The 24,661-nt window shown below is 50.1% G+C and overlaps 1 long non-coding RNA gene across 1 annotated transcript, besides 9 other annotated features; it reads left to right on the top strand.

Annotated features, from left to right (window-relative positions):
- Positions 775-1,356: an enhancer, noted in NCBI's record as "NANOG hESC enhancer chr21:44220991-44221572 (GRCh37/hg19 assembly coordinates)". NCBI's record gives its function as "activates a minimal SCP1, AML or CMV promoter by ChIP-STARR-seq in naive H9 embryonic stem cells {active_cell/tissue: H9 hESC(naive)}" and the evidence as "EXISTENCE:reporter gene assay evidence [ECO:0000049][PMID:30033119]".
- Positions 18,405-19,126: an enhancer, noted in NCBI's record as "H3K27ac-H3K4me1 hESC enhancer chr21:44203221-44203942 (GRCh37/hg19 assembly coordinates)". NCBI's record gives its function as "activates a minimal SCP1, AML or CMV promoter by ChIP-STARR-seq in naive H9 embryonic stem cells {active_cell/tissue: H9 hESC(naive)}" and the evidence as "EXISTENCE:reporter gene assay evidence [ECO:0000049][PMID:30033119]".
- Positions 19,127-19,850: an enhancer, noted in NCBI's record as "H3K4me1 hESC enhancer chr21:44202497-44203220 (GRCh37/hg19 assembly coordinates)". NCBI's record gives its function as "activates a minimal SCP1, AML or CMV promoter by ChIP-STARR-seq in naive H9 embryonic stem cells {active_cell/tissue: H9 hESC(naive)}" and the evidence as "EXISTENCE:reporter gene assay evidence [ECO:0000049][PMID:30033119]".
- Positions 20,575-21,298: an enhancer, noted in NCBI's record as "H3K4me1 hESC enhancer chr21:44201049-44201772 (GRCh37/hg19 assembly coordinates)". NCBI's record gives its function as "activates a minimal SCP1, AML or CMV promoter by ChIP-STARR-seq in naive H9 embryonic stem cells {active_cell/tissue: H9 hESC(naive)}" and the evidence as "EXISTENCE:reporter gene assay evidence [ECO:0000049][PMID:30033119]".
- Positions 21,786-22,735: an enhancer, noted in NCBI's record as "H3K27ac-H3K4me1 hESC enhancer chr21:44199612-44200561 (GRCh37/hg19 assembly coordinates)". NCBI's record gives its function as "activates a minimal SCP1, AML or CMV promoter by ChIP-STARR-seq in primed H9 embryonic stem cells {active_cell/tissue: H9 hESC(primed)}" and the evidence as "EXISTENCE:reporter gene assay evidence [ECO:0000049][PMID:30033119]".
- On the top strand, positions 22,243-24,418 carry LINC01668 (long intergenic non-protein coding RNA 1668). Its single transcript, NR_135517.1, has 3 exons — positions 22,243-22,355; positions 23,920-24,140; positions 24,240-24,418. It is a non-coding gene; the product is annotated as a long intergenic non-protein coding RNA 1668 (long non-coding RNA).
- Positions 23,687-24,636: an enhancer, noted in NCBI's record as "H3K27ac-H3K4me1 hESC enhancer chr21:44197711-44198660 (GRCh37/hg19 assembly coordinates)". NCBI's record gives its function as "activates a minimal SCP1, AML or CMV promoter by ChIP-STARR-seq in primed H9 embryonic stem cells {active_cell/tissue: H9 hESC(primed)}" and the evidence as "EXISTENCE:reporter gene assay evidence [ECO:0000049][PMID:30033119]".
- Positions 23,778-23,827: a silencer, noted in NCBI's record as "silent region_13352". NCBI's record gives its function as "represses an Ori minimal core promoter by ATAC-STARR-seq in GM12878 lymphoblastoid cells {active_cell/tissue: GM12878}" and the evidence as "EXISTENCE:reporter gene assay evidence [ECO:0000049][PMID:35858748]".
- Positions 23,858-23,907: a silencer, noted in NCBI's record as "silent region_13351". NCBI's record gives its function as "represses an Ori minimal core promoter by ATAC-STARR-seq in GM12878 lymphoblastoid cells {active_cell/tissue: GM12878}" and the evidence as "EXISTENCE:reporter gene assay evidence [ECO:0000049][PMID:35858748]".
- Positions 23,928-23,987: a silencer, noted in NCBI's record as "silent region_13350". NCBI's record gives its function as "represses an Ori minimal core promoter by ATAC-STARR-seq in GM12878 lymphoblastoid cells {active_cell/tissue: GM12878}" and the evidence as "EXISTENCE:reporter gene assay evidence [ECO:0000049][PMID:35858748]".

Here is a 24,661-nt window from a genome sequence, read left to right as displayed (position 1 = left end):
AGACCACCACGGTCATTTCTTCCCTTCTGTCAGACATAATTCCTCGGTTTGGCCTTCCCACCTCTATACAGTCCTATAACGGACCAGCCTTTATTAGTCAAATCAGCCAAGCAGTTTCTCAAGCTCTTATTCAGTGAACTAATGGTCTTTTAAAAACACACCTCACCAAGCTCAGCCACCAACTTAAAAAGGACTGGACAATACTTTTACCACTTGACCTCAGAATTCAGGCCTGTCCTCAGAATGCCACAAGGTACAGCCCATTTGAGCTCCTGTATAGACGCTCCTTTTTATTAGGCCCCAGTCTCATTCCAGACACCAGACCAAGTTGGACTGCGGCGCCCTCCCCCCCGCAAAAAAAACAAAACTTGTCATCCCTACTATCTTCTGTCTAATCATACTCCTATTCGCCGTTCTCAACTACTCATAAATGCCCTGCTCTTGTTTACACTGCTGGTTTACACTGTTTCTCCAAGCCATCACAGCTGATATCTACTGGTGCTATCCCTAAATCACCACTCTTAACTCCCTCTTAAAGTAAATAAATAATCTTTGCTGGCAGGGCTATGCTGAACCTCCTTGGGCACTCTCTAGTTAGATGTCCTGGGTCCTTCCAATTCTTAGTCCTTTAATACCTGTTTTTCTCCTTGTCTTATTCCGTTCTTTTTTCAAATCATACAAAACCATATCCAGGCCATCACCAATAATTCTATACGACAAATGTTTCTTCTAACAACCCCACAATATCACCCTTTACCACAAAATCTTCCTTCAGCTTAATCTCTCCCACTCTAGGTTCCCACACCACCCCTAATCCCGCTCAAAGCAGCCCTGAGAAACATCGCCCATTATCTCTCCATACCACCCCCCAAAAATTTTCGCCGCCCCAACACTTCAACACTATTATGTTTTATTTTTCTTATTAATATAAGAAGACAGGAATGTCAGGCCTCTGAGCCCAAGCTAAGCCATCATATCCCCTGTGACCTGCACGTATACATCCAGATGGCCTGAAGTAACTGAAGAATCACAAAAGAAGTGATATTTAAATAGCCGGTTCCTGCCTTAACTGATGACATTCCACCACAAAAGAAGTGAAAATGGCCAGTCCTTGTCTTAACTGATGACATTACCTTGTGAAATTCCTTCTCCTGGCTCATCCTGGCTCAGAAAGCTCCCCCACTGAGCACCTTGTGACCCCCCACTCCTGCCCGCCAGAGAACAACCCCCCTTTTTCCTTTACCTACCCAAATCTTATAGAACGGCCCCACCCCTATCTCCCTTCACTGACTCTCTTTTCGGACTCAGCCTGCCTGCACCCAGGTGAAATAAACAGCCTTGTTGCTCACACAAAGCCTGTTTGGTGGTCTCTTCACACGGACGCGTGTGAAAGATACAACCCCTGGCCTTCAGGTTTTCAAGGTACAATTGGTCAACTCACCGTATTTCGTAGTCTAAAGGAAACTCTAGGAAACCGCAAGGTGGTGTCAGCTTCCTTGACGATTCAGAGAGGTGGTTCCGAACGGGCGCAGTGGCTCATGCCTGTAATCCCAGCACTTTGGGAGGCCGAGGCAGGTGGATCTCTTGAGATCAGGAGTTTGAGAACAGCCTAGCCAACATGACAAAAACCCCGTTCTCTACTAAAAATAAAAAATTAGCTGGGTGTGGTGTCACATGCCTGTAATCCCAGCTACTTGGGAAGTTGAGGCAGGAGAATTACTTGAACCTGGGAGGCAGAGGTTGCAGTGAGCCAAGATCGCACCATTGCACTCCAGCCTGGGCGACAAGAGCAAAACTCCACCTCAAACACCACCACCACCACCACCACCACCACCAAAGAGGTGGCTCTCAGGCTCTTGAGGAGCTGCAAGACTGGCAAGAGGTTTGCTTAGTATTTGACCTCATGCTTGCTTCTCTTCAGTCTTCTCAACATGAGGAAAAATAAGCCTCTGTCATGTTCATGCTATCAAGATAAATCAGTCTTATTTTCATTTTCTATAACCAGCAGCAAAACATAGTATCCAACCAATGGACAGTTTTTTACCCCAAGTCTGGAAGTTCTCCTTTTTTTGTTTCCTTTGAGACAGGGTCTCACCGTCACCCAGGCTGCAGTCCAGTGGAGCGATCACGGCGCACTGCAGGCTCCACCTCCTGAGCTCAAGTGATCCTCCCACCTCAGCCCTCCTAGCAGTTGGGACTACAGGTGCAGGCCACTATGCCTGGCTAATTTTTTAAAATTTTTAGTAGAGATGAGGTCTCGCTATGTTGCACAGGCCAGTCTTAAACTCCTGGACTCAAGCAATCCTCCTGCTTTTGTTAAATATGAATTCTACATTTCTCTTCAAAGAATTAATATGTCAGTATGTTCAATTGTTTGCCTTCTACTTTTAAACTTAACTTCCTTGTAAAGCAACGTTTTTCAATTACCTGCTCCACCCTGACTCATTCTCCACCTGGACTCATTCTGATGACCTACTCCACCGACTCATTCCGATTCATTCTCCACCCTGACTCATTTCATTACCGTTTTTTTTGCCAACCCACTCACCTCATCACTCTCTTGAAATTAGCCAGTCGTAATTAGTTTGGTCTGTGCAGTCTAACCCTAGCCAATAGGCGAACGACACAGCAGTAGGGACCATGTGCATCAGAAATAGGAACCCCTTTCCCTCACTTGTCCAGGTGTGCGCTCACCATTGCTCCATCTGTAAGGGCGCACCCTTCTGTAGAAGTTACTTGCCTTGTTGGGAATTACAAGAAAATTTCTTTTGTGGCACCGAAACTTTACTTACAACACTCTGACTTCCCAAAGTGCTGGGATTACAGACATGAGCCATTGCACCTGGCCTGGAAGTTCTCTTACCTTTGAATATTGTCTCTTTCATTTTCTCCATTTTCTCTTTATAAAATGCATGTTAGAGCTCCTTACTCTATTTTCTTAAACTTTTTGAGGACTAAGCTCTGATTTTTTATCTTGCCCAAATTCCTATCGAAGGGGTCTGGGGAGTCATGCCCTGCAAACCATAAATTCTCATCAGATGGTTTTATTTAACCGTATATATCATTACTGACTTTCCAATCTGACTCTGGCATAACATTATAAGACAAGGAAAAAAATCAAAATATTTAACCCCAAAACATGTTTCTTTGCCGTATTTTGAAATGCCCTGCAAAGCCATCCTTTGTGGGGGAAGATCTGCTTCTGTAAAGAATCTCTATTCACATAGCCAGATATTTTTTTTTCCGGCCCTCCCAATCCTGAAGAGATTAACCGAGAGTCTAGCACCTTTTAAAAGTCTGAATATGAAGCATTTGTCATCGATTGTCTCTAAGGGCAGCTACTATGAGACTTCAGAAGAACCTTGGTCTCCACAATCTTTTATCTTAACCTGAGCATTTCCTTTCTATGGATCCCAGGTCTTTTTTTTTTTTTTGGAGACGGAGTCTTGCTCTGTCACCCAGGCTGGAGTGCAGTGGAGCGATCTCGTCTCGCTGCAACCTCCGCCTCCCGGGTTCACACCATTCTCCTGCCTCAGCCTCCTGAGTAGCTGGGACTACAGGCACCCGCCACCACGTCTGGCTAATTTTTTGTATTTTTTAGTAGAGACGGGGTTTCACCGTGTTAGCCAGGATGGTCTTGATCTCCTGACCTCTGATCTGCCTGCCTCGGCCTCCCAAAGTGCTGGGATTACAGGTGTGAGCCACCGTACCTGGTCTACTGGATCCCAGGTCTTTAGAGAAGCTCAACCAATTGTCAACTAGAAAATGTTTACGTTCACCTGGAAGCCCCGCCCCCCACCCTCCCCTCCCACCCGCTTTGAGTTGCCCCACCTCTCTGAACCAATCTATTTATCAAATATATTTGATTGACATCTCACACCTCCCTAAAATATATAAAGCCAAGCTGTGCCCTGACCACCTTGGGGACATGTTCTCAAGACCTCCTGAAGGCTGCGTCATGGGCCACAGCCGCTCATATTTGGCTCAGAATAAATGTCTTAAAATATTTTACAAAGTTTGAGTCTTTTTGTCTACATTATCTAAAGTTTTCGTTACTTTTTCAATCTTTATCTTCTGTGTTACAGCACTGGTCTCTGCTTTACTGTATAATCCTTATGTCAAATATTTTATGTCAATGGATCATAATAACTATAGTAACATTTTTATTTGCTTTAAAATATTCTCCTTTAAAAACGATAACCTGTTTCATGGTTCATGGATGCTTTTTTTAAATCTATATGTTATCTAAAAGAAACTCATTTTAAGTATAAAGACATAGATAGTGTGAACCTGGAAAATCTGAGACAAGTCTTAGTTAATTTAGAAAGTTTATTTTGTCAAGGTTGAGGATGCGCACCTGTGACAGACTCAGGAGGTCCTGACGACACGTGCCCAAGGTGGTCAGAGCACAGTTTGGTTTTTATACATTCTAGGGGGACATGAGACATCAATCAACATACGCAAGATGAACATTGGTTCGGTCTGGAAAGGCGGGACTACTCAGAGCAAAAGCAGGAGGACTGGAAGCCAGGGGAGGGGGCTTCCAGGCCACCTATAGATAAGAGACAAAAGGTTGTTTTCTTCTGAGATTCTGACTTGCCTCTCCAAAGGAGGCGTTCAGATATGCATCTGTGTCAGTGAGTAGAGGGATGACTTTGAATAAAATGAGAGGCAGGTTGGCCCTAAGCAGTACCCTGCTTGACTTTTCTCTTTAGCTTAGTGATTTGGGGGCCCCAAGATTTATTTTCCTTTCACAATAGGTTAAAAATAAAAGGATGAGAAAAGATATGTTGTGCACACACACACTATAAAATCAGCTGGAACGCAATATTCATATTAAACAAAGCTTGGTACAAGAAATGTTACCAGTGTGAAAGTTGTCAGAATCAAAATGGAATCTCTTGTGTTAAAAACAAAAACAAAAACCAAAAACCTTGTGACCGGGCGCAATGGCTCACGCCTGTAATTCCAGCACTTTGGAAGGCCGAGGTGCCCGAGGTCGGGAGTTCGAGACCAGCCTGACCAACATGGAGAAACCCTGTTTCTATTAAAAATACAGAATTAGCCAGGTGTGGTGGTACATTCCTGTAATCTCAGCTACTCCAGAGGCTGAGGCAGGATAATTGCTTGAACCCGAAGGCGGAGGTGCGATGAGCCGAGATCGCACCATTGCACTCCAGCCTGGGCAACAAGAGTGAAACTCCATCACAAAGGAAAAAAAAAAAAAGCCTAGACAGAGAAGCCAGAGAAGACCAGGAAGAGACGGTTCTTGAGCATGAATGTCTGACAGCACAGCTATCCCAGAAGAATGCAAAACCCACAGCCTTGCAAAAAGGCCATTGCAACCTCACATCAAAGGTCCTTCTGTGAGGACATCTGCCCAGCGACTGCCTGCCCAACCTTGGATTGGTGCCACCTTTGTTACTGGTCTTCGTAGCTAAGGATAATTATCTCAAAACAATGATATGACCCTCCTCATTTTCCCGTCGTCTCGCTGTGTTCCCTCCCTGAGTAACACAGAGTGTATGATGGTGCACGGATTTCCACAGCAGTGCTCCAATCCCAAATAGACTTCAGCTTCTTTTAGAAAGCCCCTCTCTGTTTAGGTTGACACCACGGATAAAGAGGGATATTGCATAAAGATCAAGGGGTCAAGTCTGTGGAGTCCTGATAAGGTAAGTAAGCAAGAATGAGGAAGAGGTCCCAGGTGAGGGAGAAGAATTACTCTGAGAGGTGGCTAACCACAGGCAACCCTCTGGCACAACTACCTCGCTCAGGACGTAGCCCCTGCAGCACGAACCTGCAGAACCTCCCTCCAGCCCCTGCCTCTTTGCAGACAGCTCCTTCTCTGCTGTGCTGCCTGTTACATCCTTGCAACGCACCTTCGTATTTTCTCAAATAAATCTGCCTTTTTTTTTTTTTTTGAGATGAAGTCTCACTCTGTCACCCAGACTGGAGTGCAGTGGCGCGATCTTGGCCCACGGCAACCTCCGCCTCCCAGTTTCAAGGGATTCTCCTGCCTCAGCTTCCTGAGTAGCTGGAATTACAGGTACATGCCACCATGGCTGGCTAATTTTTGTAATTTTAGTAGAGACAGGGTTTCATCATGTTGGCCAGGCTGGTCTCGAGCTCCTAACCTCAGGTGATCTGCCCTCCTTGGCCTCCCAAAGTGCTAGGATTACAGGCATGAAGCCACCACACCTGGCCAAATCTGCCTTTCTTTACCTACGACTGTCTTGGTAAATTCTTTTTTTTTTTTTTTTTTTGAGGCAGAGTGTTGCTGTGTCACCCAGGCTGGAGTGCAGTGGTGTGATCTCAGCTCACTGCAACCTCCACCTCCTGGGTTCAAGGGATTCTCCTGCCTCAGCCTCCTGAGTGTTAGGAATAATGCTCAAAATCCTAAGGAAATTGAACACTCGAACAAAGGATTCTTAGCAAAGCAATTTTCCTTCTGCGCAGAGGGGTGCCTCCTTGGCCAATGGCCATGAGAGCACACCTGAACAAGGGGCACAAGAGCCTTTATTCCTGATGCAAGTCCTACCCCGCCCCTGTACCCTTTCCCCATTGGCTGGGGTCAGGTCCTACAATCTAAACTAATCCTGGTTGGCTAAACATTGGATTTTTTTTTACATAAGGCAGGCACATAAAAGAAAGTGGAGAGGAAGGGGAAGGGGTGTCTGTAATGAGCTAGAAAGTTAGTCCTCTTTCCAAATAAGGAAAGGAATGGAGCTGGTACTGATAACGCCTAGTACTATGGCATGCCTGGGCATCTAACAAAGGCGAAGAGGAAAAAAGGAGAAAAAGGAGAAGTTGGGGAGGCACTATGAATTAAAGAATAAAAGATTGATCAGATTATTTGAAGAGAAACCTCATCATATCCCACACGAGTAGCTGGGATTACAGGTGCCCGCCACCATGCTCTGCTAATTTTTGTATTTTTAGTAGAGATGGGGTTTCGCCATGTTGGCCAGGCTGGTCTCGAACTCCTGACCTCAGGTCATCCTCCTGCCTCGGCCTCTCAGACTGCTGGGATTACAGGTGTGAGCCACCGTGCCTGGCCGGTAAATCCTTTTACTGACCATGACGCTGGCCCCAGCCAGTTGCACCCGCGATGAAGTCTTCATTAGGACATCACAATCCTACATGTGTGTATACCTAACAACAGAGCTTCAAAATATACAAAAAAATTGGAAAGAACAAACACTGAAATAAACAAATCCACAACTAGAGCTGGAGACATCTACAGTGCCCTCTCGGTGATCACTAGAACAAGTAGGCAGACTCCTTGTGCCTGGAAATTGGCCTGTCTCATCTTCTCCAGGTTCTTGGTGGGGGCGGTGAGACCACCATCTAGTCAGCAGTTGGGCTGGGTGTGGGTTTGTTGTAATGGTCATCTCAGTGCACCGCACTGGAGACTTCAAATTCCTCAAGCTGTGGGAGGCAGCCACCTCATGCCGGGGGTCCTTCTCAGGCTCCTACCCACCCCCCTGCCCCCAGCTTTCAGCTGTGCCTGCAGGTTTGCAGCTCAGAGGGAGGCCATCTCCAAGCATCCCTGCTCTCCTCTCTGTATGGCGCCCCGCAGCACCTTTTCTCTGTGGTTGGTCTTGGGTGGCAGTTTCCCATCTGGCCCCATGTCCACACCCTTGACCATTCCTTCACGGGGGGTGGATTTTTGCCAAGGTCCTGGAGGAAGAGTATTTTCCATCCCTTCCCTGGGGCAGACAGGTTTTGCCCTTTCTTCACCCCTATAATCAGTGGATCTTCGCTTACGCCCTGGAAACAAGATAGTGTGAAAGGAAAATAAATCTTGGACCCCCAAATCACTACGCTAAAGGGAAAAGTCTGCTGGGCGTGGTGGCTCACGCCTGTAACCTCAGCACTTTGCGAGGCTGAGGCAGGCTGATCACCTGAGGTCAGGAGTTCGAGACCAGCCTGGCCAACATGGTGAAACCTGTCTCTACCAAAAATACAAAAATTAGCCTGGCGTGGTGGCACGTGCCTGTAGTTCCAGCTACTTGGGAGGCTGAGGCAGGGAGAATTGCTTGAACCCAGGAGGCAGAAGTTGCAGTGAGCCAAGATCGCGCCACTGTGCTACAGCCTGGGTGACAGAGCAAGACTCCGTTGCAAAAATAACTAACTAACTAGCTAAATAAATAAATAAAGGGAAAAGTCAAGCTGAGAACTGCTTAGGGCCAACCTGCCTCCCATTCTATTCAATGTCACCACCCCCACCCCCACCACTGAGATAGATGCATATCTGATGGCCTCTGTTGGAAAGGCTAATCAGAAACTCAAAAGAATGCAACTCTCTCACCCACCTGTGACCCGCAAGCCCCCTCCCAGCTTCGAGTCTTCCTGCCTTTGCTTCAGGTTGTCCTGCCTTTCTAGACCGAACCAATGTACTTCTTACCTATATTGATTGATGTCTCACGTCTCCCTAAAATGTATAAAACCAAGCTGTGCCCCGACCACCTTGGGCACGTGTTGTAAGGTACATGCCACCATGCCTGGCTAATTTTTGTAATTTTAGTAGAGACAGGGTTTCACCGTGTTGGCCAGGCTGGTCTCGAACTCCTGACCTCAGGTGATCCGCCCTCCTTGGCCTCCCAAAATGCTAGGATTACAGGCATGAAGCCACCGCACCTGGCCAAATCTGCCTTTCTTTACCTCAGGACCTCCTGAGGCTGTGTCACAGGCGCGTCCTCAACCTTCACAACATAAACTTTCTAAATTAACTGAGGGCAGATGGGATTTTCCCTTTCTTCTGCCCTAGAATCAATGGAGCTTTGCTTATGCCCTGGGAGCAAGACGGTTTAATGCACCTTCCTCAGCAGCTCAAGTCTTCTGCTTGTAAGAGTGTCCAGGGAGCAGCTGGGGCTCCTACCTGCCCCAGCACCATCCCCTCTCGCACATCCACATCACCCACAAGGGCTGTCTGTCATCACCTGCCCTGTCCCCGCTCTTTCTTTTTTTTCTTTTTTTAGGTGGAGTCCTGCTCTGTTGCCCAAGCTGGAGTGCAGAGGCGCGATCTTGGCTCACTGCAGCCTCCGCCTCCTGGGTTCAAGCAATTCTCCTGCCTCAGCCTCCCGAGTAGCTGGGATTACAGGTGTGCACCAGCACACCCAGTTAATTTATGTATTTTTAGTAGAGATGGGGTTTCACCATATTGGCCAGGCTGGTCTCAAACTCTTGACCTCGTGATCCACCTGCCTCAGCCTCCCAAAGTGCTGAGATTACAGGTGTGAGCCACTGCGCCCGGCCAGTCCCCACTCTTTCTTAAAGGCCCATGGTGGAGCGTTTACAAGTGAGTGCAAGATCCCCTTCTGTATGGGACCCCAGCTCTCCCCATCTGTCACACAAATTGGCCTTTAAGAATTTTTTTTCTTTTTTTTTTTTTTTACAGAGTCTCGCCCTGTCGCCCAGGCTGGAGCGCAATGGTGCGATCTCGGCTCACTGCAACCTCCACCTCCCGGGTTCAAGCGATTCTCCTGCCTCAGCCTCCCGAGTATCTGGGATTACAGGCGCGGGCCTCCACACCCAGCTAATTTTTGTATTTTTGGTAGAAACAGGGTTTCACCATGTTGCCCAGGCTGGTCTTGAACTCCTGACCTCCTCATCCACCCGCCTCGGCCTCCCAAAGTGCTGGGATTACAGGCGTGAGCCATTGCGCCCGGCCCGCCTTTAAGAATTTTACTGAATCTTTCTTGTCCATCCATATGGTGGCCACTGTTTCTTCTATACTCTGTAATAAGATTATCTGCTTGACCAAAATTTAGTCAAGCTCCAGAAACTTCTCTTAGGACCATCTGTGCACTTCTTGTAAAGTCCAGCTTTAGCAAAGAATCCTGCTAAGTCAGTTTATTTATTTATTTTTATTTTTTGAGACGGAGTCGCCCTCTGTCGCCCAGGCTGGAGTGCAGTGGCACGATCTCGGCTCACTGCAACCTCCACCTCCTGAGTTCAAGCAGTATAGCCAGACCCCATCTCTCTCAAAAAGAAAAATGATTAGCTGGGCTGGTGGCACACACCTGTGGTCCCAGCTCCTCGGGAGGCTGAGGTGGGAGGACCACTAGAGCCCGGGAGGTTGATGCTGCAGTGAGCTATGATTGTGCCACTGCACTCCAGCCTGTGTGACAGAGTGAGATGTGAGACCCTCCCCCCCCAAAAAAAACAAAAAACAAAACAAAATAACCCCAAAACCAAAAAAGACACAAGTGTTATTGAATATTTTTTTCTTTGACACCTGTCAAAAATAAAGCAGTTCATGTGCTCTCTCTCTGCTTGAAGGGGCCCATCCTTTTTGGAATTCAGTTCACTTTGTTCCCCTGTGATTCACCTCTCCAGTGGCGTTGAGGATTACCTGACTGTTCTCATTGTTAGTGTGGGAGCAATGTTCTTTGCAGTTTTCTACATTCTAAGAGGAAATGGAAGTCTCCGTTATGCATCTTATTACAGCCACAGCCTAATGGACTCACTCTGTGAGCTCATTTTCAGTGGGAATTTCTTCCATAGGAGTCCTAGGTAATGGCAGTAGCCCCCTGGGATATCTGTCATAAGGCCACAGCGGGCCAGAGATATCACGGAAAACTGGGTCACTGAGGAAAGTTTAGTAATGGGACTATTTACAAAGCTGTGGGCAGGGGGCAGAGAACTCAGTATTCCAGGGCTAGGGAGAGCAGGCAGCTGTGCCTTTCCTGCCTTCCCTTAGGTCTGAAATGGCAGAGAGGAGACTCACCTGGATGTGGAGCAGATGGCTGCATGGAGATGACTGTCTGGTGGGGCTGCAGCCCTCAGTGAAAGACCATTGCCATTGTTGCTGGACATAAAACAAACAAGGACATAGAAGCACTCAACACACTGTCAATCTACATGACCTTCTCCACATTCACAGAACTCTACCCAACAACAGCACTGTACGCATTCTTTTATTTTATTTTTCTTTCTTTTTTTGTTGAGACAGGGTCTCACTCTGTTGCCCAGGCTGGAGCACTGTGGTGCGATCTCAGTTCACAGCAACCTCTGCTTCCCAGGCTCAAGCAATCCTCCTCCCTTAGCCTCCCACTGAGACTACAGGCACACACCACCATGCCTGGCTAATTTTTGTATTTTTTGTAGAGATGGGGGTCTCACCATTTTGCCTAGGCTGGTCTGAAACTCTTGGGCTCAAGCAATCCACTACCTTGGCTTCCCAAAGTGCTGGGATTACAGGCGTGAGCTACCATGACTGGCTGTACACATTTGTTTCAAACGTTCATGGAACATGTACCAAGATGGATTGCATAATGAGCCATAAATTAAACCCCAATAAATGTAAAAGAGTTGGGATCATACAGAATGTGTACTTTGACCAAAGGGGAATCAAACTAGATGTCAGTAACAAAAAGATAACCGATTTGTGCATTGCTGGTGGGAATGTAAAAGGTGCAGCCGTTCTGGAAAACGGTTTGGCAGTTTCTTACAAAACTCCATGTTCAATTACTATACAGCCCCAGGATTGCTCTCCTGGGCACGCCCAGACAGGCAAAGACTCATGTTCATAACAACCAGTGGATCAATGTTCCTAGCAGATTTACCTGTCAAAGCCAAACAGTGGACTAGCCTGGATGTCCTCAATGGTTATACAAACGGGTCTTACAAGGGGCACTGGAGGGATCCTGTGGATCCCTGGAGGGATGTCTGTGAGTTGGGAGGTGGCTGGGGAGTGTTCTGAATCTCGTGTGTGTCACTGTCCATTCTTGCCTGTGACATCATGATATGTTAGAGAAGATGTGAGCATTGAGGAGACCTGGGGCCTTTTATTACAGACTGGGAGGAACTATTTGCAAGCCCTATATCCAACAGAGGACGAGTATGTAGAATAACGGCACATGGGATCTCTCTATATGCTTTCTTCTTATTTTGAAATTTTGCTTTATTGTGTCTTGTGTAACCCACGTAGTGAACAGAAATCTTACATGAATTGAATATTCATGTATAACATACATTAATACACAGATATGATCATGAAGATCAGTCTTAGAACTCAAAGCCATTTGTCAACAAACAACAATGCTGCTTACTCTTGCCGTAATTAATTTAATTTAATCTAATTGTTTTGAGATGAAGTGTTCTCTTGTTGCCCAGGCTGGAGTGCAGTGGTGCGATCTCGGCTCACTGCAACCTCCACCTCCCAGGTTCAAGCGATTCTCCTGCCTCAGCCTCCCGAGTAGCTGGGATTATAGGCACCCGCCACCACGCCCGGCTAATTTTCTTGTATTTTTAGTAGAGACGGGGTTTTGCCATGGCGGCCAGGCTGGTCTCGAATTCCTTACCCCAGGTGATTCACCCACCTTGGCCTCCCAAAGTGCTGGGATTATAGGCGTGAGCCACTGCGCCTGGCCCATAATTAATTTTTTGATTCATATTATTTTAGGATTGATGAGGGAAAGAACACTATCTTTCTTCATTTGCCATTATATATATTGAACATACTATGCCTAGAATATAAGAAGTTCTTTTTTTAAAAAAAATTCAATTTTTATTTTAGATTCGGGGGTACATGTGCAGGTTTGTTACCTGGGTACATTGCGTGATGCTGATGTTTGTACAACTGATCCCATCACCCAGGTACTAAGCATAGTACCCAGTAGGTGTTTATCTGATGTTTGTACAACTGATCCCGTCACCCAGGTACTGAGCATAGTACCCAGTAGGTGTTTATCAGCCCTGGCTCCTCCCTCCCATGTCTAATAGTCTCCAATGTCTGTTGCTGTCCTCTTTACGTCCTGTGCACTCAGTGTTCAGCTCCCACTTGGAAGTGAGCAAATGCGGTATGTGGCTTCCCTTCCTACGTTAATTCGCTTCAGACAATGGCCTCCAACTGCACCCACGTTACTGCAAAGGACATGATTTCCTTTTTCTCTATGGCTGTGCAGGTGATCCTCCTGCCTCAGCCTCCCAAGTAGCTGGGATTACAGGCGTGCGCCACCATGCCTGGCTAATTTTGTATTTTTTGTACAGACAGGGTTTCGCCATGTTGGCCAGGCTGGTCTTGAACTCCTGACCTCAAGTGATCCACTCACCTCGGCCTCCTAAAGTGCTGGGATTACAGTGTGAGCTGTCTTGCCCGGCCTGTTTTATTTATTTATTATTATTATTTTTAATTTTTGTAAGGATATTTATTTTGTAAATTTTCTTTTCTTTCTTTTGTTCTTTTTCTTTTCTGATAGAGTCTGTCTCTGTCGCCCAGGCTGGAGTGCAATGGTGCAACGTCTGCCTCCTGGGTTCAAGCAATTCTCCCGCCTCAGCCTCCCAAAGTGCTGGATTACATGTATGAGCCACTGCACCTGGCTGTGCTTTGTTTAATTTGAAGTTTCTCCCACTTGTAAAACACTGTTATCCACCTTCCTCAGCGTTGCCTGAAAGCTTCAAATCTCCTTTAAACTTCGCAGAAACTGAGTGACTCTGCTCTCCCACCATGTGGAAGGCCAAATGTGACAATTTCGGTGAGCACTGGGGGTCTCAGAATAAAACTTTGCACTCGTTTTTGAGAATCCCTTAATTACAGATTTGTGCTGCAAGGAGAATGTGTAAGAATTCTTTACATTTTTAAGGTCCCTTTGATGGCTGGCTAAAATAAACACCTATGTATAAAAACTGGTGAGGTAAAATAACACCAGATGTAAGGCACTCATTTTTTACACACTCCTGAGTCTTGGAAGTTAGGTGCTAACTCCCTCCTTGACTCACGCTGGTTGTAACCAACACCCCGTCAGTGCTGGGGTAGCATTAACTGGATCAGCAGCAGGTCTCCGGCAGTCTCTCGGAGCACCGCATGGAGGGTTTCAATAGTCTTAGAAGGTGGAATCCTTCAGTGTGAGTTCGAGGAGAATAGCATCGGATGCCAAGTTAACGTTTCAGCTATTCTTTCTTTTCTCTTTTTTTTTTTTTTTGAGACGAAGTCTCACTCTGGTGCCCAGGCGATCTTGGCTCACTGTAACCTCCACGTCCCAGGTTCAAACGATTCTCCTGCCTCAGCCTCCTGAGTAGCTGGAATTACAGGTGTGTGCCACCACGTCCAGCTAATTTTTTTTTTTTTGTATTTTTAGTAGAAATGGGGTTTTGCCATATTGACCAGGCTGATCTTGAACTCCTGATCTCAGGTGATCCACCTGCCTCGGCCTCCCAAACTGTTGGGATTACAGGCGTGAGCCACAGTGCCTGGCCTCAGCTGTTCTTTATAATAAAGGGTTGTGGTGTGCCCTGACCCTGGAGTCAAGTAGCTCTTGAAAGTGTTAGAAAAAGCAGCAGGGACTTGGTGATAGAGAAAGCTGAAAAGGGCATTTAAAGACAGATGCTTGAAGAATGACTCCCAATCTTGCTTTTAGCCATCTTCCTCACTCTGGTAGATTGCAAAATAAATAAATAAATAAATAAATAAATAAATAAATAAATAAAAAATTTAAAAAATGCCATAAATTCTCTGCAGCTCCTTCTGTCATTAAGTGATTTTTCTTTCTTTTTTTCTTTTTTTTTCTCATTATTGCTGTTGCCCAGGCTGAAGCGCAGTGGCACAATCTCGGCTCACAGCAACCTCCACCTCCCAGGTTCAAGCGATCCTCCTGCCTCAGCCTCCCGAGTAGCTGGGATTACAGGCACATGCCACCATGCCAGGCTAATTTTTGTATTTTTAGTAGAGACAGGGTTTCACCATGTTGGCCAGGCTGGTCTTGAACTCCTGACCTCAGGTGATGCACCCACCTTGGCCTCCCAAAGTTCTGGGATTACAGGCGTGAGCTACAGTGTCCAGCTGTGAAGCGAGTTTTTAAACTTGGGCTTGACCATGTGATTTGCTGTGGCCGATGAGAGGTAAGGATCCGTGCATACTGAGACTTGAAAAGTGCTTGAGACTTAGGAGGACTTAACATTCTCTGGCTGCTGGGAACCACCTGTCACCGTGTGAATGAGCCTTGTTAGCCTGCCACACAATGACAGAGACGTGTGCTTGAAACTGCAGTCTGCTGGCAAACGAAGTGGCAGACGTGTGGCTGAGGCCATCGTAAACCAGCCAGCTCCAGCCGGGCTGGTCAGACCAAAAAATCTGCCTGTCAACCCTCAGAACTGTGAGAAATAATAAACATTGTTGTTCAAGCCACTAAGTGTTGGGGAGGTTTGTTACACAGCCAGGGCTAGCTGACACACTCTCCTTTTGTGTCCAGGCAGTCAAAGGCAAAAGTTTAGGTTTGAAATTGACCAAGTAGGTTATGGTCATGATTTGTTCTCCTGGGTTCTTACCTCCCTGTCAACCTTTTCCTTCTTGCCCATTTCCATCAGTTTCCCCCTCCCATGTCACACTACCCAGTTTGTAGAGCCCCTGAGCTATCCCAGGCCTCTCAGGGAGACCCCGCTGGCAGATCCCAGATCTCCACATGTACTCTGAGTCTGTTGTTCTCTTTTGGTCACAGTTCCTGCCCTCTGCTTTCCTCAGATCCTGGCTTGTTTGAGGAAAAGACGTTCCCAACTAACAGCTCCACCCGTGCTTGCTTGGAATAGGAGTAACGATGCCTCCACACACAGGAGAGATGAGGCAGGCCCCGAGGGGTACCCGAGGAGCACCAGACCTCATGCAAAGCACTTGCCTGGCGTGACTTCATTTTATTAAAACTTCACAACAACTGAAGAGGTAGAAGTTGACAGATGGGAAAGCTAAGACTATAAGAGTGTCGTGAGTTGAATCGTGTCTCCAAAACGACACATGCAGGTCCTAACCCCCAGTTCCTGCTCTCTGCAGAGCAGGTGGCTTCTGTGTGGGCAACATCCTGATGGCAGAGGCACCCCAACACAGCTGCAGCGATGGGCCATGCCTGAGGTTAGCAGGGGTGTTGGAGGGGCCAGTGTGGGCCACGGGAGCCTCCAGTGGCTCCATCCAGGATGGTGGGCAGTCCAAGGTGGGCAGGCGATGGGCAGAGGGAACATCTGAGTGGATCCTTCCCCTGAGAGCCATGCAGTGCGCCCCACCTGCCTCGCCTTGGCCTGCGGGGAGACAACAGCGATGGAGGCAGGGCCGGTGGCCACGCACGGGGAACTCTGCGAGTCCTGCTACAGCCGCTTCCTCCAGGCCCTATGGTGCAGGTGGGACATGCATCAGCTGTTTACAGGGGTCTATGGGCAGCCACCAGCAGCCGAGGGGAGAGGCAGCCAGGTAGTGCGGCATTTCCTTCTGTTCCATTCTGATTGGCACGTCCAGTACATTTTGGATTTTTGGATAAAATTACTTTTAATCAAAACAATAGAAAGTCAGTCCAGAATTCTCCTTGCCATGAGTAGTTGTCGGATGTTGCATGAGGCCTCGGCGCCCGATCGCGCTGCTCCAGGAGGGACCTGCTCTCTGCCGGCCTCCTCCCTCCGCACCTGCCCCCTCTGCTCCTTCGTGAAGCCCAGCGTTCCTAGCTTTTACTCTGTTCCCTGCGAGGTCTGGAAAACCGTGCCCAGGGTGCTTGCTTGGCATCTTTGCATGTTTCTGGCTTCCTTTCTCTTAGCTGGAAGCAGGGCTAGGTGAGTGGTATGTGCACGTCCTCACATAATGTACACACGTGCCCAGGCACACACATCACATGAATACACTTGCCTACCAGGGGACCCCCTTGTCCCCCAGCACAATCTGCCCTGTGGGTTTTGTCCTCCATGCTTCTTTAGGTTGGCAACCACAACTCACATCCACCCACTCATCCCACAAATGGTCACTGAACCCTTAGCATGTCCCAGCCACCTGGCCGCCCTGGGGAGTTCAGGATCCTAGGAAGGGAGGTTCTGCAGGGTGCCTATCTATACAGACACTTTGAACCACCCCAATTCAGCATGCCAGCACCATTCTGGTGGCCAATGTCCAGCGATCCCATGACAAACGTGGCCCTGGCTAGGGGACGTGCTCTGCTGCCAGTCACGGGTGCCTGAGTCCAGGAGTGCCTGGGGCTTCGGCTGACCCTGTCTGTCTGGGGTCCAGGTAGAAGGTTACAGCACATCTCAAAAGGTGGAATGTGGAGGAGCCCACGCATCCCTAACCAGATGAAACTGCCAGCCTGGCCGGTCTCGGGCCATTGGAGTCGGACTTGGAATTTTGGGGACCACCACAGGGCGGGGCCTGCGGCTGTCTGAGGGTGGCATCACAGGCATGCTGAGGTGTGGGGCTGGAGGAACCCCGGACAGAACAAGGAGTAGGGGAATGACAGACAGAACAAGCCAGCCATGTGGCGCGCATGGGGCCGGGACACCTACCTCCTCCTGCCGTTCGCCTGGGCTTTTCTGGTTTTTGTACCCAAAGTGGGGAGTGGGGGTGGGGTGGACTGGGGGTGGGGTCAGGTGAGATGAGGGTGGGGGTGGGGTGGGGTGGGGATGGGGTAGGGTGGGCTGGAGTGGAGGTGGGGTGGGGTCGGGTGAGATGAGGGTGAGGTAGGGGTGGGGTGGAGTAGGGGCGGGGTAAGGTGGGTTGGAGTGGAAGTGGGGTGAGGTGGGGTGAGGCAGGGGTGGGGTGGGGTAAAGGTGGGGTGGAGTAGGGGTGGGTGGAGTGGGGGTGTGGTGGGATGAGGGTGGGGTGGGGTGAGGTGGGGTGAGGTAGGGGTGAGGTGGGGTGAGGTAGGGGTGAGGTGGGGTGAGGTAGGGGTGAGGTGGAGTGGGGTAGGGTGGTGCTGCAGTTTCTGACAGGGCAGTCAGGAAAGGCCCCGCTGCCAACTTGGTCCCCCAGCCAGGTGGAGGACAGAATCTGCCCCCACCCTCCCACCAGGATTTCCTGGTCCTAATTCCTGGAACGTGTGAGCGTTGGCTCCCACAGCCAAAGCAACTTTGTAGATGTGATTAAACCCCGGACCTGAAGCGGGGGAGGCTGTGCCAGACTGCCCTGTGGGCCTGTATCACCTCGGGTCCTTTCGGGAGGGCAGCAGAGGAGGGCAGGGAGAGGCAGTGGAGAGGGAACGAAGGAGAGGGGAGGGGATGATAGGAGCAGAGGTTGGAATGATGGGCTTTGAACCAGAGGAAGAGGCCATGGGCGAGGCCATGGGCAAGGCCACAGAAAAGGCCAGGATGAATTTTCCTGCAGGTCCCTGGCAAGGAAGCAGTCCAGCTGGCACCTTGGCTTCAGTTCTGTGGCAGGGCCTGTGGGCTCCTGACGCCCAGGGCTGTCAGAGAGGGAATCTGTGGTGCTCCGTCGGCAATTGTTACAGCAACAACAGGAAACCAGCGCAAGCAGAGACCCGGAAGAGAGGGGGGTGGAGGAAGGGCGGCCGCCTTATGCAGCTCAGGCGGGGGCTGGAGAGTGGGGCTTCTGCCCTGCAGCCTGGGCTCTCTCAGCCCTGGAGGTCCGAAGCCGCAGATCGCAGATCGGGGTGGGATGGTCGGGTTCTGGGGAGGGTGCTGCTCCAGGCTGCAGGCGGTGCTGCTTTCGTGTGCATCCTCACGTGGCGGAACAGAGCTTCCTGGGGTCCCTTTTGCAAGGGGACCAGTCTCACGCTCCCCTCATGACCTCATCACCTCCCAAAGCCTCCACCTCCTAATACCTCGGGGGTTGGGATTTCAACATAGGAATGTGTGGGACACACAGACTTCAGCCTGTTGTAGCCTCCTGGATCACCTATTACGGGAGAAGATGTAATAGGACATAGAGTTAACTGCAAGGGATCAGAATCCAGAATTTAAAAAGAACTGTGATCTGATTGCTGGGTGAGGTGGCTCACGCCTGTAATCCCAGCACTTTTGGGAGGCCGAGGCGGGCGGATCGCCTGAGGTCAGGAGTTCAAGACCAGCCTGGCCAACACGGTGAAACCCCATCTCTAGTAAAAATACAAAAATTAGCTGGGCATGATGGCAGGTGCCTGTAATCCCAGCTACTTGGGAGGCTGAGGTGGGAGAATCGCTTGAACCCGGGAGGTGGAGGTTGCAGTGAACCGAGATCTTGCCACTGCACTGCAGCCTGGGCGACAGAGTGAGACTCTGTCTCAAAAACAAAAAACAAAAAACCAGAAAAAAACCTGCGATCAACTTGGAAAAGACAAACTGCCCCAGCAGAATGTGGGCAGAGGCCACCACATCACAGAAGAGGAAGCTGAATGGCCAATGAGCAGATCAAAAATCAAAGATCAGTCTCATTAGCCATCAGAGAAATGCCCGGGAGCCTCGGGTGGGGCCCCCACGCCCACCACGGAGGCGTGACTGATGCTGGAGGTGACAGGGTGGTGACCATGGACCGACACAGAGGGTGGGGGCAGGGGTTTTACAGCTGGCTTGTAGAGTGGACAGGCATGAGGAGCAGGCATGGGAGGGCGGCTTGGCAGTCCTGACAACCACGACAGTGCGAAGGTTGAAAGGGGCTTAACTGTGAGCCAATTAGGATCCCCTGGTGACATTGAACAGGTTGTTACTATGGTGAGGTTGTTAATTTGATGGTTTAAAGTGCCCCTAATGCCAAGAAACAAATGACTAGAGCACAACTGTAGCAGGTTAGGGGTCCCCTGTGGGCCTCTCTGGTGACCCACACTAGGCATCACTGTCCCTCGTCTTTCTGATGTGGTGGATGGACAGCACAAATTCATTTTTCAGCTCCGTTTCTCAGGTGTAGGGCGTGTGAGATGCCTGGACGCGGTGGTATGGACAGTACTTCACTGTCCTTATGTCCATGGAGGGAGAGAAGGAGCATGCAGGCTGGCTCTGTGCCTGCGCCCACTCCCCACCCAGCCACGTCCCCAGGCTGCCTTCTCCACTTTCTCCACCAGACCAGAGCCCCTGCAAGAATCCACTTCCAAGCTGGGACACTTCCCTGAAACAATTAGGGCCTCCCACCCCACACTCTTGCTTCCATTATGTCTCCTCACGGGCATCAGATGCAGATACAGATGGGCAGATGGCAGCACCCAGGAGGCCATCGAGCGCGCACCCTACGCCTTGCACCAGAAACACACAGCTTGGCAAAACAGACCTGGCAACCAGAACAGGCCTACAGAATCAGAATCTCAGGGCTGGGGCGTGTCTCAGTGTCCACAGACGGCCTGAGGACCAGCCAGGCTCAGAAACTCCTGACCCAGTGCAGCTGCTCCTGGGACTAACAGAGGAAAAGCTCAAGGTCATGCAGGCAGGGAAGGGAGAGGAGAGAGGAGAGGGAGAGAAGGAAAGAGAGGGAAGGGAGTGAGGGGAGGGAGGGGAGAAAGGAGAGGCAGGGGAGGGAAGGGAGGCAGAGGAGGGAGGGGAGGGAGGGGAGTAAGAGGAGGGAGAGGAGGAAGGGGAGAGGGGAGGGAGGGGAGGGACGGGAAAGAGGGGAGGGAGGAGAGGCAGGGGAGGGAGGGGAGGCAGGCGAGGCAGGACTGACAACAGAGAACCTTGGCCCCTTTGGCCACCCATGCTCCTGCCATGGGAGCTGCCTGTGTGCAGGCGCTGACTGCCAGGCACGGCTTCTTGGAGCAAGAGAAGTCCCCTGAATATGTCCCTGGCTTTCTAGGGTTTCGCAGGAGTGGCCATGGCGGTATCTGGGCTCAAATCTGGCTGCCTCCGGCTCGCGGAAAACAGTGTCTGCTGTCTGGGGAGCCTGTTCCTGGTGAAGACAGGAGGATAATGGGATGCGCTGTTCCATTGCCAACAGTGTTTTTCTTCGAGAAGGGGAAAGGACATGGTACTGATTGAGAACTTCTGGGAACCTCGGGGCAGGTGAGCAGAGTGGGAGGAGCTTGCTGGCAGCAGCGCCTGTTTCCCACCCGGCTGGCCGCAGACCTGGCGCTCAGTGTGGCTCCCGCTCCCACGGGATGTATCGAAGGAGGCGGCTCAGAGGCAGAAGCTGCGTCGCCTTCGCAGCCGCGCGTGCATGAGATTCAGGGTCCGGCCCCCGCAGAATTACACCGGCGTGAACCCGGCTCATCGTGAGCTTCTGAGGCAACACTTGTGTTTAGTATTTTCCATGATATGATGTCTGCAAATACATTCCCATGAGAGGGAGCGTCGGACTGTCCCGTCCCCATGTCGAGCAGGAAGGAACCAGAATTAAGAGGAGGGTGTCCAAGGCGGCAGCTCACCTTGTTTTCCAGCTTCTCAGAAACGCTGAGAAAAAACGAACATCTCTTTGCAGCGGATGGAAGATTGTATAGTCTTGCTGTCCCAAATTCTTTGGCTAAACCACCAGATTTTAAATATCTGCTAGCAAAATATATTAGAAAAGTTAGGATTAACCGGAAAAAAACCAGTACTCTTATGTATTTTCACTTGTAACCAGGCAGCTTAACTTCAAAATGCATCTTAACTTTTTTTCCCCTTTCTCTTGGATTTTAAGATATAACCTTGAAGCGAACTGCAGAAGCCTTTTCCCTTAGCCTTAAAGTAGGCTTCACGTCCCCGCCTTTCTCACTGTCTATACCCGCTTCACAGTTCTCTAACTGTATGTGCGCATCTCATTATGCACGCATCTCATTATGCACCTTCTTAGACGTTCCAGGGGCTAATCTTGAGACAGACCAAGCCTGGAGATCAAGCTGCAAAGTGCCACAGATGACATCAAGGTGGCTAGTTCACCACCTGGCCACTGTTGAGGTGATGCCAGCCTGAGACCCAGGTGGATGGGGACCCAAGACAGCCACTCGAGACACACAGACATTGTACCCCACCCAATTCTCGTATTTCTTCCTTATCACGTTTTCCTTTCTTTCTTTTTGAGACAGAGTCTCGCTCTGTCGCTCAGGCTGGAGTGCAGTGGTGCAATCTCAGCTCACTGCAACCTCCGCCTCCCAGGCTCAAGAGATTCTCCCACCTCTGCCTCCCCAGTAGCTGGGATTACAGGCACCTGCCATCATGCCCAGCTAATTTTTTTTTTTTTTGGTAGGGACGGGGTTTCACCATGTTGACCAGGCTGGCCATGAACTCCTGACTTCAGGTGATCCACTCACCTTGGCCTCCCAAAGTGCTGGGATTACAGGCATGAGCCACCATGCCCGGCCAAGTTTTCCTTTCTTAAACCCCTGCCTTCCTCCCCAAAATTGAAGTGGTTGCCATGGATGGCTATCTGGCCACTTCCCCTTTACTAGTTTTGGTTAATAAAATCAATTTCTTTCTTTCCTTTTTTTTTTTCAGATGGAGTCTCACTCTGTTGCCCAGGCTGGAGTGCAAGAAAGAAAGGAGGAAGAAAAGAAAGAAAGAGATGACATTTCTGACTCTCTAGTTCTTATCTTCTTTTTTTCCTTAGAGAGAGCGAGAGAGAGAGAGAGAGATCATGCTATGCTGGCGCAGTCAACCCAAGCTCAAGCTGTCTCCAGCACTGCTTGTGAGCCGGGCCCACGTTGCTGCCCAGGGACTCGGTGGTGAGGGAGGTGTGATGTGTGAGTCTGCTGGGGCAGCCCTAGCGAGGCACACAGGTGTGTGTGTGTGTGAGCTTGGCGGGGGGCTTAAACGACAGACACTTACCTCTCAAAGTCTGAGACAAGTGTTGGCAGGGCTGGCTTCTGCTGAGTCCCCACTCCTCTGTGTGTCAGGGTCTGTCCTTCCCTGGCGCCCTTCATGTGCATCTGTGCCCCGACCTCCTCTTCTTGTAAGACTCAGTCAAAGTGGCTCAGGGCCCACCCCAGTCAGCTCATGTTATCTTAACCACCTTTTAAAGGCACTGTCTCCAAATACGGTACTGGGAGGCACCAGGTTGGGCTTGGACGTAAGTTTTGGGGAGAGAATTCAGCCCATAACAACGTGACTCACCCCCACAGGCCCTGGACCCTGCCTGAGGCCGTGTTTCTGCCAGGGCACCGGCCCCAGCTCCCAGGAATCTGGGGACCCCTGACCCTCACGTTCCCCTGCAGCAGGGCAGGGAGTCCCAGGGTGGGGGCTGGGAAGACCTGCCTGAGGACTCAGGGAGACTGGAACCCTAGCACCTTGCTGGGCCCCTTTTGGCTACCAACAGAGAACAGTCCCCTCCCAAATTCAGAGAGACGATGTTATCTGTCCCTTAGACAGACTACGGTGAAAGCCTTTGGACTGAGATTTTTATTTTATTTATTTATTTATTTATTTTTTATTTTTTTTTTATTGATCATTCTTGGGTGTTTCTCGCAGAGGGGGATTTGGCAGGGTCATAGGACAATAGTGGAGGGAAGGTCAGCAGATAAACAAGTGAACAAAGGTCTCTGGTTTTCCTAGGCAGAGGACCCTGCGGCCTTCCGCAGTGTTTGTGTCCCTGGGTACTTGAGATTAGGGAGTGGTGATGACTCTTAACGCGCATGCTGCCTTCAAGCATCTGTTTAACAAAGCACATCTTGCACCGCCCTTAATCCATTCAACCCTGAGTGGACACAGCACATGTTTCAGAGAACACAGGGTTGGGGGTAAGGTCACAGATCAACAGGATCCCAAGGCAGAAGAATTTTTCTTAGTACAGAACAAAATGAAAAGTCTCCCATGTCTACTTCTATCCACACAGACCCGGCAACCATCCGATTTCTCAATTTTTTCCCCACCCTTCCCGCCTTTCTATTCCACAAAACCGCCATTGTCATCATGGCCCATCCCCAATGAGCCGCTGGGCACACCTCCCAGACGGGGTCGTGGCCGGGCAGAGGGGCTCCTCACTTCCCAGTAGGGGCGGCCGGGCAGAAGCGCCCCTCACCTCCTGGATGGGGCGGCTGGCCGGGCGGGGGGCTGACCCCCCCACCTCCCTCCCAGACGGGGCGGCTGGCCGGGCGGGGGCTGACCCCCCCACCTCCCTCCCAGACGGGGCGGCTGGCCGGGCAGGGGGCTGACCCCCCCCACTGGACTGAGATTTTTAAACCTCCCTCATAGCCACAGTGGAGGAGCTGTGGACAGAGTACAGCCTTGTCCGGGCACTGCCCGTCGTCTCCTGGCTCAGGGGGATCTAGCCCCAGCCACTGCCACTAGAGTGGAATGAGGTTTCCTGTGGGATCGGACGAGGGGGTGACTGCTTTCCTGTTCCAGAGGCCACCTGGGAACCGACGGTGTCCACTGATGGACGTTTTCCTGGGCTGAAGTATTTCAGATGCCCAGTGTACTCCCAGCCCTCACAGCGGTCAGTTCTGCTTCACGGGTTTCCCACATGATTTGGCTAAGACGTCAGCCGGCAAAGACGCTTGGGTTGGCTTTAGACATTACGAATAAAAGGAAGCTGCGGGAGGCGGTCAAAGTCTGAGACATGACAGGTGACACAGGAGGGGACGGGAGGGGGGATTCGGCCGCGGGGACCCCATCCAGGATTCCAGTAGCAGACATTCCTCTTTCCTTCTTTTATTACCCACAAGGTCAAAGCTGAAATCACAGGGGGCTGCGTTGCCTTTTGATGGGAGAGCCAGAGGCTGCATTCCGAAGATTGCACGATGCCAGCTCCCAACTGCGAGGGGGCAGATTTGTTGGAATTTCTCAAATCCAGTCTTTGATACATGCGTTGTTCCTTCAATTGCTAATAAACGGTCTTGGGGAGAAAAAAGTGGAAAACAGCATCTTCCTGTCCTCTCAGAGGAGCACAGGTGATGATGGCCTCCCAGGACGGTGCTAGGCTGTGCACAGGCTGGCCCTCCCTTTGTGAACTTTCTGTTCTTTCTGGCGACATGCTTGCTGTGTGCTGGGAGCTCACCGTGGAAAGCCCCAGGCATTGCTGCTCCTGTCTCCTGACGTGCATGTGGCTCAGCTGTAAACATCTTTACCCTTCATGCTGACTTAATAC

The sequence above is a fragment of the Homo sapiens genome, chromosome 21, assembly GCF_000001405.40.
Source record: "Homo sapiens chromosome 21, GRCh38.p14 Primary Assembly".
Classification (NCBI taxonomy): Eukaryota; Metazoa; Chordata; class Mammalia; order Primates; family Hominidae; genus Homo; species Homo sapiens.
This window is presented reverse-complemented; position numbering and strand designations above follow the sequence as displayed.